The 19607-nt window shown below is 41.3% G+C and overlaps 1 protein-coding gene across 1 annotated transcript in view, besides 3 other annotated features; it reads right to left on the minus strand.

Annotated features, from left to right (window-relative positions):
• The window catches only part of HS3ST3A1 (heparan sulfate-glucosamine 3-sulfotransferase 3A1), a 107898-nt gene that overhangs the window by 62887 nt on the left and 25404 nt on the right, over nucleotides 1-19607 (minus strand). The gene's annotated exons all lie outside the window — the stretch shown is intronic.
• Nucleotides 18591-19091: an enhancer, noted in NCBI's record as "OCT4-NANOG-H3K27ac hESC enhancer chr17:13478826-13479326 (GRCh37/hg19 assembly coordinates)". NCBI's record gives its function as "activates a minimal SCP1, AML or CMV promoter by ChIP-STARR-seq in naive H9 embryonic stem cells {active_cell/tissue: H9 hESC(naive)}" and the evidence as "EXISTENCE:reporter gene assay evidence [ECO:0000049][PMID:30033119]".
• Nucleotides 18754-19048: a silencer, noted in NCBI's record as "tiled region #8608; HepG2 Repressive non-DNase unmatched - State 22:ReprW". NCBI's record gives its function as "represses a minimal TATA promoter and a strong SV40 promoter by Sharpr-MPRA in HepG2 cells {active_cell/tissue: HepG2}" and the evidence as "EXISTENCE:reporter gene assay evidence [ECO:0000049][PMID:27701403]".
• Nucleotides 19092-19592: an enhancer, noted in NCBI's record as "OCT4-NANOG-H3K27ac hESC enhancer chr17:13479327-13479827 (GRCh37/hg19 assembly coordinates)". NCBI's record gives its function as "activates a minimal SCP1, AML or CMV promoter by ChIP-STARR-seq in naive H9 embryonic stem cells {active_cell/tissue: H9 hESC(naive)}" and the evidence as "EXISTENCE:reporter gene assay evidence [ECO:0000049][PMID:30033119]".

A 19607-nucleotide genomic window follows, 5' to 3' on the forward strand; every position in this document is an offset into this window, starting at 1 on the left:
ATGCTTGCACATACTTGCACCCAGCAGAATATCCTCAGGACAGCGAACAGATTCCCTGAAAGAGCAGGTACCAGAATAGGCAATAGGTTCGACACAGTCAAATTGTATAGCCACAGAGATGGCTTAGCTCACCCAAATTAAAACAAATGAGAACAACAAACTTCCAACAAACAAAAGGATACATACAAAGCAAACATCTAGCCCAGCAGATTCATAAAAATGAGCACGGGTCGGACGAAGGCCCAGAAATGTTTCCTTAATGGATGCCCTGCGATTCCGCCTCTTTTCCCCTCTTCACAGTTGCTGAATCACTTAATAAGAATGGATTTTTCATCAGCTAGACCTCCTGTTTATCTGAGGCGAATCACACACTCTACTTTTTGAGCAAATTAAAGGCCTGAGTAAAACCCTTGAACATTTAAGCATGAGTCAACAGACATCAGAAAGAGAAGTTACAAAATTAAAAGAAAAAGACAACCTCTAAAGAGAAAGAGACAACAAAGGCACCTTTCAGAGGGAAGAAAAAAGAAGATTTGTAACAACAACAACAAAAAAACCCAAGGTAAGAATTAAGTGATACCTGTCCAATACTCTCACTAAATGTAAATATGGACTTCATCAAACAGAGATGAAATTGGAAATACTAAGAATAAAGAATAGTAAGAATAAAGACAGGTTAAGAAGCAGCTACTTAAGAGGTGAGCAGGAAAAAAGGACAGGTGAACTCATTCAAAGAAACTGAAAATACAAAAGTAGAAAGGTTAAGTATCATTGTGGAGGCCAAGCTTGAAGCCATCTCCTCTCAAGCTGCAGAGAAAAGCTACTCAGATATGGGAACAGGAAGAGGAGCAGACAGGTTGAGATCAGAGAATGAAGCTCCACAATGTAGGTCATTGAATGTTTTGGAAAAAGATCTCAAGACCTGGAATCCTCAGAGAAAAAATGTTCATCGTTAACAAAATTGCTGAAAAGGGACAAGCATTTGCTGTGTCCTGGTAAACGTTTTGAATTTTAGGAATAAAGACAGAATCCTGTAAGTTACCTAAAAGCAAGATAAAAGAAGTGGTCTAAGGCCTTTACTTAACACCATTAAATACCATAAGACCTGGGAGCAGATTCCGCAGAAATCTGAGGGAAAATATGTATGACTCAGGAAAGCTATAGTCCACCAAGATTTCATTTATAGGACAAGATTTAAGAAAAAAATGGAAAAGCCAGGCATAGAGGCTCGAGCCTGTAGCTCCTTGCTGCTTGGGAGGCTGAGATAGGAGAATCCCTTGAGCCCAGGAGTTAGAGACTTGGTGCACTGCAGTTGTGCCTGTGAATAACCATTGCACACCAGACTGGACAACATAGTGAGACACTGTCTCTAAAACAAACAAACAAAAATTGGATGTGCAAAAAATTGTAAATGTTGAAAACATTACTTTCTACTATATACATATGGTATTATTTATAATATATATAAAGTACTATGTACTTCAATAATACATAGATAAAATAAAAATTTCAAAGATCAATTATACAATTTAAAAACAAAAACAGTAGTGATCTATGCTATATGTAAGTAATAAAAAATTCAAAGTAAGAAAGCAAATGATAAAAATGTTAAAAAAGATGATTATCTCGAGCGAAGGAAGGCAGAGGGTGGAATCTGACACAGGCACATCTGCCTGTAACTATTCCAGTTTTATTTTCTTTAAAACGATCTCTATCTATCTGTAGCTATGTCTGAAACAAACAAACATGGCAAAATATCAAATCTGGCATGTGAGAAGTTAACTGTACCATTTGCAGACTTAATATATTGTACATGCTTTTTAAAGAACTGAATAATGAAGAGATTAGAGACTGCAGAGTTGCATCATCAAATAAGCTAAACACGGAAGTCTAAAAAATTGTCACAAAAATGTTTACGAAATGCCAGTGTAAAAAATAGCCCTTGAAGAAAAAAACCACAATGCTACTGAAAAGTAATAATAAAAGGCCAGGTGGTAGATTACAATGGTTTAAGGCTTGAGCTCAGGAATAATACTGCTCTGTGCTCAGATTCTGACTCTACCACTTAGCAGTGATGTGGCCTTCAGTAAGTTACAATGCCTGTCTGAATCTCAGCTATGCCCTTGTACAAAGGCTAATAATAATACCTACCTCATGGGGAAATTGTAACAATTATGTAAAACAAGGAATACAAATCTGGAACACTGTTGTGTAAAACAATGAATACCAATCAGCCTGGAGCCTGGCACATATGAGTATTCAACTAATATTAACTGTTAGTATTATTATGACAACAAAAAAAGAGACTGGGTGGAGATGCTTTGTTTTACTCCAGTCTCTTAGCACCTCAGCTGGGGGCTACCACCCAAGGCAAATCTGGAAAAGGTAATTTCGTATTAATGGACACACCTCTTCAAGCATCTAGAAATTCAGACATTTATGTGTCCAAACTCTACTTCTACACTCTTCTTACACCTAAAAGTAAAAATATTTTTGAAAATATAATGTTTTTATTACATGTGAATATATATTCAATTACATACATATATTTTAATGTTCTATATAAAATTTAATTATATAACATATTACATTAATTACATATTAGATATAATCTTATATTTTATGATATAATTTTATTTATATTATATATTATAAAAGTTTGATCTTGTATTATATGTTTAATTTATTATTGGCTAATTTATTTATTATTAAGGTCTTAGGCAATTGATTATCTTTAAAGTATCCTTCCCCTTAGAAAACTCTAGAAATGGAAATGAACATGTTCCTACCAAATTCAGTGAACAGCACTTTCTTCTTCACATTCCAGGTACAGGATGGAAGCACAGGCTATCCCTAAGGCAACTGAGGAGACTGAGGGGCAATGTGTAAATACACATTTTTATTTTATTTTATTTTATTTTATTTTTTGCTTAGGTTGTACAATTAATATTTATTTTTCAAGCAGCAAGTTTGGTTTTGGTTTTTTTGCAAAAGGCCCATCTTGTTTTCTTAACAATTCTTTGATCCTCTAAATTTATATTTTGAAAATTTTCAAAGTTACAGGAAAGGTACAATAGTAAGAGTGTATTGGCCGGGCGTGGTGGTTCACGCCTGTAATCACAGCACTTTGGGAGGCCGAGGCAGGCAGATCACCTGAGGTCAGGAGTTCAAGACCAGCCTGGCCAACATGGTGAAACCCCATCTCTACTAAAAATACAAAAATTAGCCAGGTATGGTGGCACATGCCTGTAATGCCAGCTACTCGCGAGGCTGAGGCAGGAGAATCGCTTGAACCCGAGAGGTGGAGGTTGCAGTGAGCCGAGACAGCGCCACTATACTCCAGCCTGGGCAACAGAGGGACACTCGTCTCCAAAAAAAAAAAAAAAAAAAAAAAAAAAAAAGTGTATTACCTACATACTCTTCAACTGGAGTCACCATTTCTTTTTTCCTGCCACCTTTGCTTCTCTGTGTGTGTGTAACTCTATATATTCTTTCTGAACTGTAACAGAGTTAAACATCATGACATCTCACCTCAAATACTTCCACGTGTATTACCTACAAACAAAAACATTCTCCTAAGTAATCATAATACAATCATCATACTCAGGATATTTAACATGGAGGAAAACAAATTTTATTACAGCGTGTGTCTGGATTTTTGGTTTGGAATATAGAGTTTCTTTTAGTCTGGATACCCTGCTGATTATGCCTATGGTAAAGTGAGCTGACTAACAATATAGCTCCATTACTAAAAATCATGAGTAAATATCTCTAAATAATTAACTATTGCAATTCCATTTTGATCAAAGTGCAATTTCAACACAGGTGCCTGATAGAGAATCTGGTTTGGAACTGAAGTACTTAGTACCTCAGGAAAACTTATTAAAATGTTTTCTTCTTGTAAAAGACAGGGGAAGCAAAGTGTGGGAAATTAAAGTGACATTCCTGAAGTTTACAGAAGGAAGGTTGGTAAAATTCAAACTTAAGTTCCAGCAATACTGTACAGCAAAGCACAGATCCTGACACCATGTAGCCTATGGGAGAGGTGGGCACAGAAGATCCAGTAAGAGACCAGAAACACATTGCTTCCATCTCCCTCATTTCTGTTTGTAACACATCTCAGCCAGAGGCCTCCATTCCTCGATGGATGTTAGAGTCATCTTGGGAGCTTTTAAAAGATGCAGAGATGCCTTGGAGCCTACCTCAGACCAATAAAAGTAGAAATCACTGGGGACAGAACAAGGATGCTGGTATTTACAAGCTCCCAGGAGATTCTAACAAGCAGCCAGAATTGAGACCCATTGCCCTAGAGGAAAGGAAGTTTGGACTTTGGGTATGGCTGTGTATTCTTGTCCACCCCTACCTAAGTCTCTTGCCTTAGGAAGTGACACTGCACTGCATTTTTCCTTCCCTCTGCTCCTGATTTTCTTGTGAGCATTCGAGCATTCACCCTGAGATACCAGATCATTCTTTTTTTTTTTTTTTGGAGACAGAACCTTGCTCTGTCGCCCAGGCTAGAGTACAGTGGCGTAATCTTGACTCACTGCAACCTCCTCCTCCTGGGTTTAAGCGATTCTCCTGCCTCAGCCTCCCAAGGAGCTGGGATTTGGGATTACAGGCACCTATTACCATGCCCTGCTAATTTTTGTAATTTTAGTAGTGACGGGGTTTCGCCATGTTGGCCAGGCTGGTCTCGAACTCCTGACCTCGTGATCCAACCACCTTGGCCTCCCAAAGTGCTGGGATTACAGGGGTGAGCCACTGGACCTAGCCACCAGACCATTCTTAAATGCATTGTCCACAATGTGTCAGACCTCCCACCAGGCTGGAGACACTGCGGGATTCCAGCAGGAGATGGACGCCACACCCAACTGCAGGCACTTCACTCACACAAGCGCAAAATGACAGAGCTGTGAATTGTGCCAGTGCCAATGTCCGGATCCCAGGGGTACAAAGAGGACAGACAAAGGGCAAAAAGAGAGTGTAGGGTACGGATCTGTGTGGTGCTGAAGGCGGCTTCCTCAGATGAAGCTCTCAGTGGTGTGGGCTGTCACTGGGCCCAGGAGCTTAGCTGGGGAAGAAACCTGTAATTGACAAAGTCACGCCGCCCATGTCCCTTATAAACGGTTGAATTCTCAAGCAAAGACCAGCGTTTGTGACAGGTTACAATACCTGACTATGTGAATAAATAACGGATATACCTCCCTCTTCTTTCCCTTCTCCCCATGGCCATGACCACCCTGTCTTTTTGGAATAGGCAAGCAGTAACTTTGGCTCTGTCTCTAGGAAAAAGGAGCCGCAGCCTGCAAGAGTGGACTGAGCTTCCATCACATGCCAGGAGATGAGTCAGACACAGTCATGGTCTGGAGGAGTCCAGGATCGCTCATTCTGCAAGAGGCAGGGACAGACGTGTGTGCCGTGGACAGACAGACAGCCTCGTCTATTCTGCGAACATTTCACATCCTGTCACCAGTGTGGCTGCTCGGGCACACACGAGGGACAGCGGGTGGGGGGGAAAGTAACCCTATCCAATTCCTGACATTGCAGCCCCCTCACACCCGCTCTGATCTCCATTACATCCTGGGATTGAATGGCCCTATAAAAATGTCCACCGTGAAAGACAGATTCAAAAACTGAAGAAACAGTATCCTGATGGAAGTCCTTTAACATCCTCCACCCTCAAGCTTCAGCCCTTCCCCCAGGCTCTACAATAGAACTCCCATCCCCAACCCTGGCCAGGCAGAGAATTTATGAGCTCTAAGTCCTGTTTTTCTACATTGATGGAAATCACGGGCAAACGTTTCCACTGGGCCAAACTCCATCCAGAGTCAAATATCAAGGCACCCAGCTGAGCTCCAGGAGCCAGCGTTTATGAAGCCAGTCGATGTGCCCTGTGACCGTAAACCATCTTATATTTACTATGACAGGACAGTATTTGAGTTAATAAAAAGACGATTTTTCTGCCTAACTTTTGTTGCCTGGAAGGCCCTAGCTTCTTTTACAAGGGGATTGTGTGTCAGGACCCGATACAGAGCCTGAAAAGCCAGCTGTTTGCTCATTTCATTGGGGTAAAGAAATTGAGTCAGACGTAAAGGGGCCCTAAACAAGATTCCATAGATTCTTGAAGGTCCACGATAAGTGGGAAAAATACATACCTGTTATCTTGTATGCTGCAAATGGGAAGCAGGGAGAAGAGAATCACTTTATCTAACCTTCCCAGCCCTGCCTTCTCCAGGGATACCTAGACCCCATTTGGAAAAAGGGACAGTGATGAGCCTCTGAAATGTTCGCCAGAACCGCAGCAAAGGGTAGAACCACATCATCAATTTAGGTTGGTCAGGGTATGGAAAGAAACTGAAGTTGGGGTATAAAGGGAATGAAGGGATTTAGGAGGGAGCTTCCTGCTGCAGAAGGGACAACATATTCTGGGCTCTTTCAGTTACCTGGAGGGTCTGTGGGTTGTTTGCTACCAATGTTGCATTTATTTCACTCAAGTCATTCTGCAGGAGGACCTATGCCAGCTGGGGCCAAGGGAATTGGAGCAGGATGTATGTAGGCATTTTGTGAGGATGTAAGCAAACTAAGAAAATGTCAGATATGTCCAGCTACTAGTCTAAAGTGTTGACCCCAGTGTGGGGGGCAGAGAGGGAGCATGTAAGTTGTCCTCATCTCTAGAGCAGCTTCACAGAAATCCAGAGGTTCTTTTAGCTCTGACACTCTCTAACTCTGGGAATCACTAAGTCAATGGAGTTCAGAGGGTCATAGTTGAGCAAAGCCTCAGGAAACAGCCTTTTCAAAGGACACGCACAAGTCCCCAACACAGAACTGAAGGCTGCTGTCTCTCTTTCTGGCAATGGGTATTTGTCCCTGGAGTATGCGGTTGCAGCTCCTTCCTTTCCTGATACACGTTTCTGTACTTTTTAAATGCTATTAATTAACTGTGAAAGGACAACTTAAAGATCACAAAATTGCAACTATGAGCACCGGTGCCAGGCACTAGTTTTTCTTAATTATCAAGAAAAATTAATTTCTTATTAATTATTATTGAATAAATGGGCCAATCTACGATTGCACAATAAAACATTTGGACTCGTCTTGTGGACCACAAAGCTGAATTACCATTGCTCTTCAGGAAGCTAAAGAGATTAGATGGGTTTTAGGAAGTTTTTACTGTTAATCCAGGAAAGCAATTCTGCCTCCATCAGCAGCACCTCATGACATGTGTTAATGATATTTTTTCTGTACTCTGAACTTCCTTTTGCCAATGCTCAGCAACATGCATTTTTACCCCTTGATGCAGAAAATAACAGAAGTGAAATATCCTGAGGAATATTAAAGGCAGTAGGGATTTTCTCAAAAGGTTCAGATGCTTTTTGGCAGAGATTTATTTTTTCTGAGTAAATTATCCAATCTGAGACTCCTTTAGTATTTGATTTTAATCCATTTAAATTTATTTTGATTACAGTTGTCCCTTGGTATCCACAAAGGATTGGTTCCAGTACCCCCTAAGGATACCAAAATCCATGGATGCTCAAGTTCCTTATATAAAATGGCATGGTATTTGCATATAACCTACACACATCCTCCTGTATACATTTAAATCTTCTCTAGATTACTTGTAATACCTAACAGAATGGAAATGCTACGTAAACAGCTCTTAGACCATATTTTTTAGAATTTGTATTACTTTTTATTATTGTATTGTTTTGTGGGAGCGGGGGCTGGAGATTGGTTGAATCCCTGAATGTAGAACCCACAGATGTGGAATGTCCCCTGTGCTTAGAAATTTGGACTTCTTTCCTTTTTTTTTTTTTTTTTTTTAAGAGACAGAGTCTCACTCTGTCACCCAGGCTCGAGTGCAGTGGTGCGATCGCAGCTCACTGCAACTTCCACCTCCCGAGTTCAAATGATTCTTATGCCTCAATCTCTCAAGTAGCTGGGATTACAGGTGCATGCCACCACCCGGCTAATTTTTGTATTTTTAGTAGAGACGGGGTTCTGCCAAGTTGGCCAGGCTGGTCGCAAACTCCTGACCTCAAGTGATCTGCCTGCTTTGGCCTCCCAAAGTGCTGGGATTACAGACATGAGCCATCGTGCCTGGATGAAATTTGGACTTGTTTTCTATCATCTTATTTGATGCTTTCTATGTACTATGTCTGTTTGTTTTTTTCTTTTCTTTTATTGGAGTAGTCAAGTTTATTTTATTGAATCCCTTTCCAGTTTAGAAATTATTATTTCAGTGGTTACATTTCAATTTTTGCATGGTAGCTAATTTAAGAAAACCTCAAATTACTATTGCAATCCTTCTCTATCAATGCAAGGGTTTAAAAAGCTTGAGGCCAGGCGCAGTTGCCCCTGCCTATAATCCCAGCACCTTGGGAGGCCAAGGCAGGCAGATCACCCAGGAGTTCGAGACAAGCTTGGGCAACATAGTGAATCCCCATCTCTACAAAAAATACAAAAATTAGCTCGGCATGGTGGCTTGCACCTGTAGTCCCAGCTACTCCAGAGGCTGAGGAAGGAGGATCACTTGAGCCTGGGAGGTCAAGGCTGCAGTGAGCTGTGATCGTGCCACTGCACTCCAGCCTGGGCTACAGAGTGAGACCCTGTCTCAAAAAAATAAATAAGTAAGTAAAATAAAAAATAAAATGCTTTAACACTGCCCTCCACTTCACCTTTCTCTCATTCTAATTTTACCATTGGTAAAACTGCTGTTAATCCAAGCAACATATTACTTTTATTAATTTTATAGTCACAGCTCGTTTGGATGGATGAGTGTGTTTACCATCTTCTCGGCTCACCCTTGCTTTTAGTACATCTTGTTTTCCTTCTGGATTCAGTCTTTCTTGCTAAAGCATGTCATTTAGTAGTTTCAGTAAAGGTTTTGTGTAGTTACTTCTCTCTTTGTTTATCTGAAAGTTCTCCACGTTCTGTCCTCTGGAAGTTTTATTAAATGCATTTTGGACCTAGTAAGTCTATACTCCGAGTGTGTAAACCACCCTTTTACAGTTCCATCTTTTTATCTCTTTAAGAAGTTTCTCAAATCTTTTCATTGTTAACGTTTTTCAGCTGTTTTCCTCTGCTGTTCAGTAAGTTTATCATTTATCTTTTAGTTATTACAGGCATACCTTGCCTTATTGAGCTCTGGTTTACTGTGCATTGCAGATATTGCATTTTTTAAAAATTGAAGGTTTGCAGCAACCCTGTATCAAGTAAGTCTATCGGGGTCATTTTTCCAATAGCATGCTCACATGCTGTGTCTCTGTGTCACATTTTGGTATTTTTCTCAATATTTCACTTTTTCATGACTATTGTATCTGTTATGGTGATCTGTGATTGGTGGTCTTTGATGTTACTATTGTAATTGTTTTGAGGTGCCTCAAACCACGCCCATAGAAGACAAGGAATTTTATTGATAAATGTGTGTGTACTGACTGCTCCACAGACCAGCTATCCCCCATTTCTCTCCTCCTCAGCCTCCCTATTACCTGAGACACAACAATATTGAAATTAGGTCATTTAATATCCCTACAACGTTATAAATGTTCAAGGGAAAGGAAGAGTTGCACCTCCCTCACTTTAAATCAAAAGCCAGAAATGATTAAACTTAGTGAGGAAGGCATGTTGAAAGCTGAGACAGGCTGAAAGCTAGGCCTCCTGCAACAGTTAGCCAAGTTGTAAATGCAGAGGAAAAGTTCTTAAAGGAAACAAACGTGCTACTCCAGTGAACACACAAATGATAAGAAAGTGAAACAGCCTTATCACTGATCTGGACAGAAGATCAAACCAGCCACAACATCCCCTTAAGCCAAAGCCTAATCCAGAGCAAGGCCCTAACTCTCTCATATTTTATGAAGGCTGAGAAGGTGAGGAAGTTGCAGAAAAAAAAAGTGTGAAGTTAGCAGAGTCTAGTTCATGGGGTTTAAAAAAAGAAGCCATCTCCATAACATAAAAGTGTAAGATGAAGCAGCAGGTACTGACACAGAAGTTGCAAAAAGTTATCCAGAATATCTACATAAAATTATTGATGAAGGTGGCTACACCAAACAACAGATTTTCCATGTAGACAACGTGGAAGATAGAAGAAGATGCCATGTAGGAATTTCATAGCTACAGAGAAGTTAATACCTGGCTTCAAAGTTTCAAGGACAGGCTGACACTTTTGTTAGGAGTTAATGCAGCTGGTGACTTTGAGCTGAAGCCAATGCTCATTTGCCATTTCAAAAGTTCTAGGGCCCTTACAATTTATGCTAAGCCTATTCTGCCTGTGCTGTACAAATGGAACAACAAAGCCTGGATGACAGCACATCTGTTTACAGCATGGTTTACTGAATATTTTAAGCCCACTGTTGAGACCTACTGCTCAGAAAAAAAAGATATCCATCTAAATATTACTACTCATTGATAATGCATCTGGTTATCTAAGATCTCTGAGGTATAAGATGAATGTTGTTTTTTATAACTGCTAATACAATATCCATTCTGTAGCCCACAGGACAAAGAGTAATTTTGACTTTCAAGTCTCATTATTTAAGGAATATACTTTGTAAGGCTATAGCTACCATAGATAGTGATTCCTCTGATAGATCTTGGCAAAGTAAACTGAAAACCTTCTGGAAAGAACTCACCATTCTAGGTGCCATGAAGAACATTTGTAATTCTTGGGAGGAGGTTATAAAATATCAACACAAACAGGAGTTTTGAAGAAATTGATTCCAACCCTCATGGATGACTTTGACAAGTTCTGGACTTCAGAGAAGGAAGTAACTCCAGATGTGGTGGAAATGGCCCAAGAACTAGACTTAAAAGTGGAGCCTGAAGATGTGACTGAATTGCTGCAATCTCACAATAAACCTTGAACCGATAATGAGTTGCTTCTTATGGATGAACGAAGAAAGTGGTTTCTTGAGACGGAATCTCCTCCTGGTAAAGATGCTGTGAGCATTGTTGAAATGACAACAAAGGATTTAGAATGTTACATAAACTTAGTAGATAAAACAGCAGCAGGATTTGAGAGGACTGACTCCAATTTTAAAGGAAGTTCGACTGGAGGTAAAATGCTATCAAACAGCAGCATCGCATGCTGCAGAGAAATCTTTCATGAAAGGAAGAGTGGATCAATGAGGCAAATTTCATTTTTGCCTTATTTTAAGAAATTGCCACAACCACCCCAGTCTTCAGCAACCACTATCCTGATTAGTCAGCAGCCATCGACACTGAGGCAACACTCTTTCTCAGCAAAAAGATTACAACTCACTGAAGACTCAGCTGATCATTAGTACTTTGTTAGCAATAAAGTATTTTTAAACTAAGGTATGTACTTTTTTAGACATAATTACATAGCACGCTTAATAGACTATAGTATAGCATAAACATAACTTTTATACACACTGGGAAATCAAATAACTTGTTCAGCTCACTTTATTGTAATATTTGCTTTACTGTGATATTTGCTTTATTACAGTGGTCTGGAGCAGAACCTGCAAGATCTCTGAGGTATGCCTGGACTATGTTTTTCTGCTATTTTAATCTGCAGTTTATCCTTCCTATTGAGTTTTTAACTTCAACATTTACAATTTTTCATTTCACATTCTATTTGGCTCTTTGTCAAATATTTTTATGCTGTCCAGATTTTTCATAATAATTTTAATATTTTCTTTTGTTTCTTTAATTTGAAACAAGCATGTAAGTATCTTTCAGAGTGTTATGATTTTGAGGTCAGTTTGGGGTTTGTTGGTTCTACTGCCTCTTCCACACGGTAGGTTTCTTTCTTCGAGTGACTGAAATTTCTAACTGTGTTTCCCATCCTCAATTGTGGTCGTTCATTCTGGGGTAGTCTCCTGGGAACCAAGTTGTAAAAAATCACTCGGAACAGCTTCAGTTTTTCTTTTGCCAAAGATACCAAGGTTTTCAATGGTCCTGAGACCAGTTCTTCTGTTGATTTCTCAGCTTGTGGTTCTCACACTTCACGGGAAGCATAAACTCAGGCCACATGCAAACATAGAGCTCAGACCTGTGGTTTTAATTCCTTATGAGAGACTTTTTTTATTTTTATTTTTTGTCCAAAAGCCTACAGAGAGGGCAAGCTTCCTGGCACTTTTGCTGAGCCTGGGAGGCAGGGTTTTCTAATCTATGAGGTCAAGGAGCATGGAGCGTGTCAAGATGCTTGGCTTTATGTATAGGCATGGTTTTGTCTCCAGGGGCAAATGCAGGCAGTGGCCAAATTCCTGAATCCCAGCTTTCAACCCAGGTCTTTTCTCCTGTTTATTGTCTGTGGGCTACAGCAGCCTCAGCCCCCACTTACTGCCCTGGCAGGATTTCCTTACTTTGAACTTTGGCTGGATATACTTGTTTTTGTTGTGGTAGCTGTTACATTTTATGCAGCGTTCTTTTGTGTTTATTTTGGGTGGAAAGAAGAGAGAAGTAGATCACTTCTTTCTTCAGCTCAGTCCCTCTTATTGCTGGAAATGTTTCTGTGATAATTAAAGATTTTAATTATGATGCTTTATTGGCACCATATTATGTGAACAGAGGCTAGGCATCCAAGCTCCACATGCATTGCTGCGAGACATGGCAGATACACACACCAGTCCCAGCCCTCCACCGGAGACTGCTGCGGCCTGTCAGCAAGTACACAAAGCCTGCATGAATCAGGTGATTCACGGCCAGTGTCCCCCAGCCATGCCCTGCCAGCTCCTTCCATTTCTATCTCTCTATACAACCAGTAGCGATTTTTCAGGCGTTCATTTTTTACAACTATCAACTTCTGAAACTTTAATGCAAGAGACCTCCACTGGGAGTAAAATTCTGATGTAAATTCAATCCCTTGGGAAAGGTAGTGAAACAAAAAGTAAAATATAACTGAAAAGCATGTCTGAAGAATCTCAGTGCTACCTCTCCTTTGGAGCTGGCTTATCATCAGCTCTGGCTGTCACCTTCCTGGTTTTCACATTCTCTGTTCGTCTCCATCTAAAATGGGTCTTTAACCATTCCACACTCCTCCCACCTTCCTGCTCACAGAAGCTGTGTCCTAGATGTGTAGGCTGGAGATTCTATTCTGGGACTTCCCATTAATCCCTCTTGGAAAGTGGCACTGTGCAGAAGATGGGAGTTAGCTGGTTAACAAACAGTTATTCTAACCTTTCAAAATCCTCTTATAGCTCAAAACTGGTAGAAGAAAAATCTTCTAGAATTATTGATATATGAATATTCTCACCACATTTGAGAGATTCCAGCTGTTACTCAGAGATGCAAAGTAAACCAATGATCTTAGGATATGGAAGACGTAAATCGTACTCAATGCTACCAGGAGACAAAGAAGGACCTTCTCCATGCTATTTCAATCTCTGTCTCAAATGACTCGTTGTTTCCTTCTTGAACTAAGTAACTACTACAAAAGTCTATTCTTGCTGTTTGTCCTAAAAGTGAAAAGAATATTGGATGCTTAGTTCTAATACGCTTTTTCATGATAAAGGTAATAATATCACCTTATACGGTTTTGAAAAAAAAGATAATCACTCATCCATAATTCCAGCATTGCTAGCATTCTAAGGTTATTTCCTTTTTGTTTGTTTGTTTTTCGAGACAAACAAACTCTGCTCTCTAGGCTGGAATGCAGTGACACAATCACAGCTCAGTGTAGCCTCAACCTCCTAGGCTCAAAGTGATCCCCCCACCTCAGCCAGATTAGCTGGGATACAGGTGCATGCACCAGGCCTAGCTAATTTTTGAATTGTTTGTAGAGATGGGATTTCATCATGTTGCCCAGGCTGGTCTCCAACTCTTGGGCAATTCGCCAGCCTCAGCCTCCCAAAGTGCTGGGATTACGGGGGTGAGCCACTGTGTCCAGCCTACAACTTATTTAAACACAGTTAAAATCAAAATATCCATGTATTTTTCACATATTTACAGGAGTTTTAGGTTCCTACGCATCTCAGTTTTGTTTTGTTTTGTTTTTTAATCACAACAACCCTTTCACTAAAGCAAAGTAAAAGTCCTTGACCATATTTGACAGAGAAGGAAACTGAGACGCAGGCATTTGGCAATGAGTTGCTCAGCATTAGAGATATAGGAGAGGCCTGTTGTTACCAAGGCTGTCTTCTTAGGTGTCCGTAAACCTAGGGAATTCACAATTGTGCTATCAGCCCATACAAATTCATGCGTAGTTAGAACTAGAGCCAAACTGGAATTAAAGGGAGAAAGGTGGGAGGAAGGGGGCTTTGCAAAGCTGTGATTATGAATCTAATCAGTGTATGGCCTGTCTAGAAACAATAAAGCCAGTTTCCTTGTGACACATGTAGTTCTAGAGGGAATTCCAGATAAAAATCCCCCGAAATACTCTGTGTGACGGCAATACTAGAGTAAGTACATAACCTCTGCTGGGGACTGCTTTGATGGACATTACTTAATTGGATCTATAAATTATGTGTGTCTGTTTTCAAAGAAACTCAGTCTTCCTATTCTCATATTTTACATAATTCAGTTGATGCATTATTTTAGCAAGTGCTCTACGCTTTGACGACTGCAGGAAGAAAATCGCTTTCTGAGGGCAACCTAGATGGCACAGGTTACCAACTGGCCAACCTCACTTCACCTCAATGACTGACAATTTTCCATAACTTTACAGCAAGCCTCTGATGTCTCAGGACAGTCATATCCTCAGAGGGATCAGGAAATCAAAAAGGGAATTAGTGCTGGAGAGAGGATAGGTAGATGGAAACATATATGATAAAAACAAGTTTAGTAAAATGTAAAGAATAGAATCTAGACAATGGGTAGATGAGTTTTCACTATAAAATTATTTTAGTGCTGCTATATACTGAAATTTTCATAATAATGTTTTGTTGTTGTTGTTGTTTTGAGGTGGAGTCACACTCCGTTGCCCAGGCTGGAGTGCGGTGGCATGATCTCGGCTCACTGCAGCCTCCACCTCCCAGGTTCAAGCGTTTCTCCTGCCTCAGCCTCCTGAGTAGCTAGGACTACCGGCATGTGCCACTGCATCTGGCTAATTTTTGTATTTTTAGTACAGACGGGGTTTCGCCACACTAGCCAGTTGGTCTCGAACTCCTGACCTCATGTGATCCACCCACCTCGGCCTCTCAAAGTGCTGGGATTACAGCCATGAGCCACAGCACCCTGCCAATAATGTTTTTAAAAAACACAGAGACTCCACAGGAAAATGCTTTTCTGGGTAACCAAATGTTGCTGGATAGATTTATTTTTTCTGTCTCTCTTCATCTCTCTCCTTACCATGTCCTTTTTACGTCTATGAAATGTTTAGGGATATTTCTCTAAAGGTGAATGAATATGCTCAGAAAACATTTAATCAAATGTATTTTTGAGAGGATAATACTGAGTCCTAAAGAAGGGAACTGACTTATCCCAAATCAAGTCATCATATGGCAGGTGCAGGATCAAAGGTTGGGCTCCTGTGTCCAAGGATCCTTTCCATCCTAGGGGGTGACCGCTCGGACCACTTTCTTGTGGGACCCTATCTGGAAGGACTAGGAAAACAATGCATTTGGAAATTGTAAATGGAGGCTTAGAGAAAGTCGGGGTGCTAAGAAATACCCATGAAAAAAGGGCATCAAGGGAGGCCAGCAGAAAGTATGCGAGAGCTGCTACAGGGATTTGATCCTGAGGTTGATATAGGGCTCACAATTGTATTGGCTGTAATTAAATCTCTGGCTTCTGTTCATAGAGGCTGGGCTCCCTAGAGGAGAGGTCCAGGCTGTGTTTTAATTTGTTAAGGTCATTTCACCTGCCTGATCTTCACACCCATGCTTTTATTTTACAGGATTAAGTAGACGGGGAATTCAACAGCTATTTTCTGAGTTTTTACCATGTGCAAGGCACTGTGCCAGAAACCACAGGAAAATAAAAAATTGAGCAAAACACAAACTCAAGGAACTAGCCGTCCTGTTAGGGATATGGGAGGCAGGAAAAGAATAAGTTAAAATTGTATATATTGAATTAGGGAAAGCAGATGACCCTTTTCCGCCACAAGACCTTGCTTATTTAACAGCCTGATCCCAATGAGCAGAAAAGGACTTTTATGTGGAGTCCTGGAGTTCAGGAGGTCCTGGAAGAAAGATTACAGCCAACTCCACTAAAGTTTTTCCACTGATGTCTGGATTTCATTGAACACCATGAGATTCCTCACCCTGATCTCCTAGTTGACAAATCCATCAGATTTTCAGTATTCTTGGCTCTCCTTAGCCTCCTTCCTGTCCACATTTAAAATGACCTTTCCCCAACCTCTATGGCATTACAGTTGCCCTAGATCTCATCCACCCTCTCTGAATGCATTTTAGAATACCCCAATGCCCACAGGAAGGCTTCTTCCAAGACCTCCTCCTCCTTCCAACTCATAAATACTCAATCCATCCATGCTTTGTCTTCTCACTTCCAAGCAGAGCATTCCAAGCCTCCATTTGTAGTGTTATGCCTGTCTCATGGAAGGTTCCACCTAGAACTCGAAGCTCCCCACCTGACCTCTCTGTCTATCCACAACCATGCCCCCTCAGTTCTACCCATTTCCACACCACCATGCTGCAAAGTTGGGAAAGTCATCATTTATGATTCCTTTTTAGTCTCCTGAACCAACCAGAAATCGAAATCTGATGATTCTTCCTCTCCAGTCTTTCCTGGTCCAGGTCTTCATCGCCACCAGCCCAAAAGACAGTAGCTGTGTCTCTGGCAGAGTTCCCACCTCCAGAACCCTCTATCCTCACAATCAACATGTGACTGAGCTCAATGTTGAGTGTGAGTGTCAACAACACGGGCTGAATGTTTGTACCCCTCCCCCAAATTCATATGTTGAAACTGTAATCTCCAATGTGATGGTACGAGGAGCTGGGGGCCTTTGCGAGGTGATTGGATTTAGATGAAGGCATGAGGGTGGAGCCTCCAAAGTGGAGTTACGGGCACAGGGGAGCTTGCCTCCTTCTCTCTGCTCTCTCTGATATGTGAGAATACACAAGAAGATGGCAGTCTGCAAACCAGAAAGAGTGCCCTTACTGGACACCAGCTCTTCCCACGCCTTGGTCTTAGACTTTCCAACCTCCATAGAAGTAAGAAATCAGTATTTGTTGTTTAAATCAGTGGTATTCTGTTACAGCAGATAAACTAAGACCATTCCCTAATGCAGTTCTCACCCCAGTACTCTCTATCCTTGTGCTCAATTAATTCAGTATATACCCATTGCCATATCACTCTTTTTTTTTTTTTTTTTGAGATGGAGTCTCACTCTATCACTCAGGCTGGAGTACAGTGGCGCGATCTCAGCTCACTGCAACCTCCACCTCCCGGGTTCAAGTGATTCTCCTGCCTCAGACTCCCAAGTAGCTGGGACTACAGGTGTGTGTCACCACGCCTGGCTAATTTTTTGTGTTTTTAGTAGAGACGGGTTTTCACCGTGTTAGCTAAGATGGTCTCGAACTCCTGACCTCAGCCTCCCAAGGTGCTGGGATTACAGGCCTGAGCCACTGCGCCCGGCCCTATCACTCTTAAAACAGTGGGTCGGGTGTGGTGGCTCACACCTGTAATCCCAGCACTTTGGGAGGCTGAGACAGGCGGATCACGAGGTCAGGAGATCGAGACCATCCTGGCTAACACGGTGAAACCCCATCTCTACTAAAAGTACAAAAAATTAGCGGGACATGGTGGCGGGCGCCTGTAGTCCCAGCTACTCAGGAGGCTGAGGCAGGAGAATGGCATGAACCCAGGAGGTGGAGCCTGCAGTGAGCTGAGATCATGCCACTGCACTGCAGCCTAGGCAAGAGTGCAAGACTCCATCTGAAAACAAAACCAAACAAAACAAATACACACACACACACACACAAAAAACACACAAAAAAAATGAAGGGCATGTCTCATAATCACCCTGCTCAAAAATGTTCCCCATGTCAATAGATGGTAATTGTAAAACACTAAAACTGATGTCCAGGGTCCCTTGCAAGGGGGGTCTGCTTTTTCTTTCCCATCTCACCTTGAAATACTGCTTGAAGACAAAATATCCCCTATAGTCAAATTAATCCTCTTGCCACCATCCTGTAATGCATCCACATATGCTTCCCTCTTCCACTTCACAGTTGCCCCTACCTGGAATTTTTTCTCAGTCTCTCTGTTTATCTAATTCCTATCCATTTTTTAATAATCCCATCTCCTTCAGGAGGCTTTCCCCCATTTGCTTTAGCATACCAAGGCCACTCTTGCTTGCTCTCTCAGTTGTGAAACTCTCTGATAATTATTACCTATACCCTTTGCCTAGCATTATGTGTACTACCCATGCTGAGGCTCTTTTCTGATTCCTCCATCAAATTGCAAACTCCTACACTAAGTAGGGAAAAAGCATCTTTTAGGTTCAAAAAAGAAATGGATAATGGATGAGGTCAGAAAGACATGAAATTCTCAGCCTCAATTTTGATTTCATAATTTGCCAAATTCATAAGACATTGCAAATGAAACACACTGGTAAGATAAAGGCAGGGGTATGCTTTGAAGAAGAAACTATAGAGCATGAATCTATACCTTGCTGATTCCTAGTTCCAATCAGGGAGTTTTTGCTCTCTCACTTCTAACTGTGGTGACTTGCATCAGGAAAAGAATACAAAAAATCTTCAGCTCACAGCTTATTCTAGGGGTCAATCAAAGATTTTAGCTCCTTCTGCCTGTATCTGAGGTTCCCAGATAGCACAAGACCAAACCAGAGGTTAGCAAAGAGTCTGCCAATAGAAGATAAGAAGGGAGGGAAATTGTATTGGAAAATAATGAGCTGATAATTGACTAGTGGCTGGAATGTCTACCGAAAGCCCAGCAGGTTTAGAAGCCTCAAAAATAACCATTGTAAGTATTAACTGTCGTTCCCATCAATGCTGGGAAGCAGAGGCTCCAGTTAGATTGGGGGAGCTAGAAACATTTCCCAGAAAAGTGCCATGGAAAAGATTTACCCTGCTGTGAACAGCATATTCACGGCAAGTCTTTCTGGAAAGCAGATAAAGGTCTTGTCGCTCAAAGGATGATCTCCACACTAGTAGCATCAGCACTACTTGGAAGCTTGTTAGAAATGCAAATGCTCGGGCCTCATGTTAAGCCTACTGCATTGGTATTTCTGGGACTGAGGCCCAGGAACTTGAGTTTTAATCAGCTCTCCAGGTGATTCTGATGCAACTTAGGTTAAGCACTGCCTTAGCAAATGGTGGTGGTGGCTGCATTAACAATTGCGGCACAGCAAGGGACTCTAGACCTTAATAGCTTAAAATAACAAACATTGATTATCTCACACAGTTGCCCAGAGTCAGGAATGCTGCAGCTGCTTAAGTGGGTGGTCCCAGCTCAGCTCAGTGTATCTCTTGCGATCACAGTCATCAGCTGGAGCTGCAGACATATGGATGCTTGAATAAGGTGGAAGAGTCACTCCAAGCTCACTCACGTGGCTGTTGGAAGACTTCAGGTCCTTGCCATGTGGGCCTCTCCATAGGCGCTGCTCACAAAACATGGCAGCTAATTTCTGCTACTTCAAGTCACTCCAGACAGAGAACGCACTCAAGACAGAAAGCACAATATTTTAACAAGCCAAGCGTGGAAGATACATCTCATCACTTCTC

This window comes from Homo sapiens, chromosome 17 (assembly GCF_000001405.40).
Source record: "Homo sapiens chromosome 17, GRCh38.p14 Primary Assembly".
NCBI lineage: Eukaryota > Metazoa > Chordata > Mammalia > Primates > Hominidae > Homo > Homo sapiens.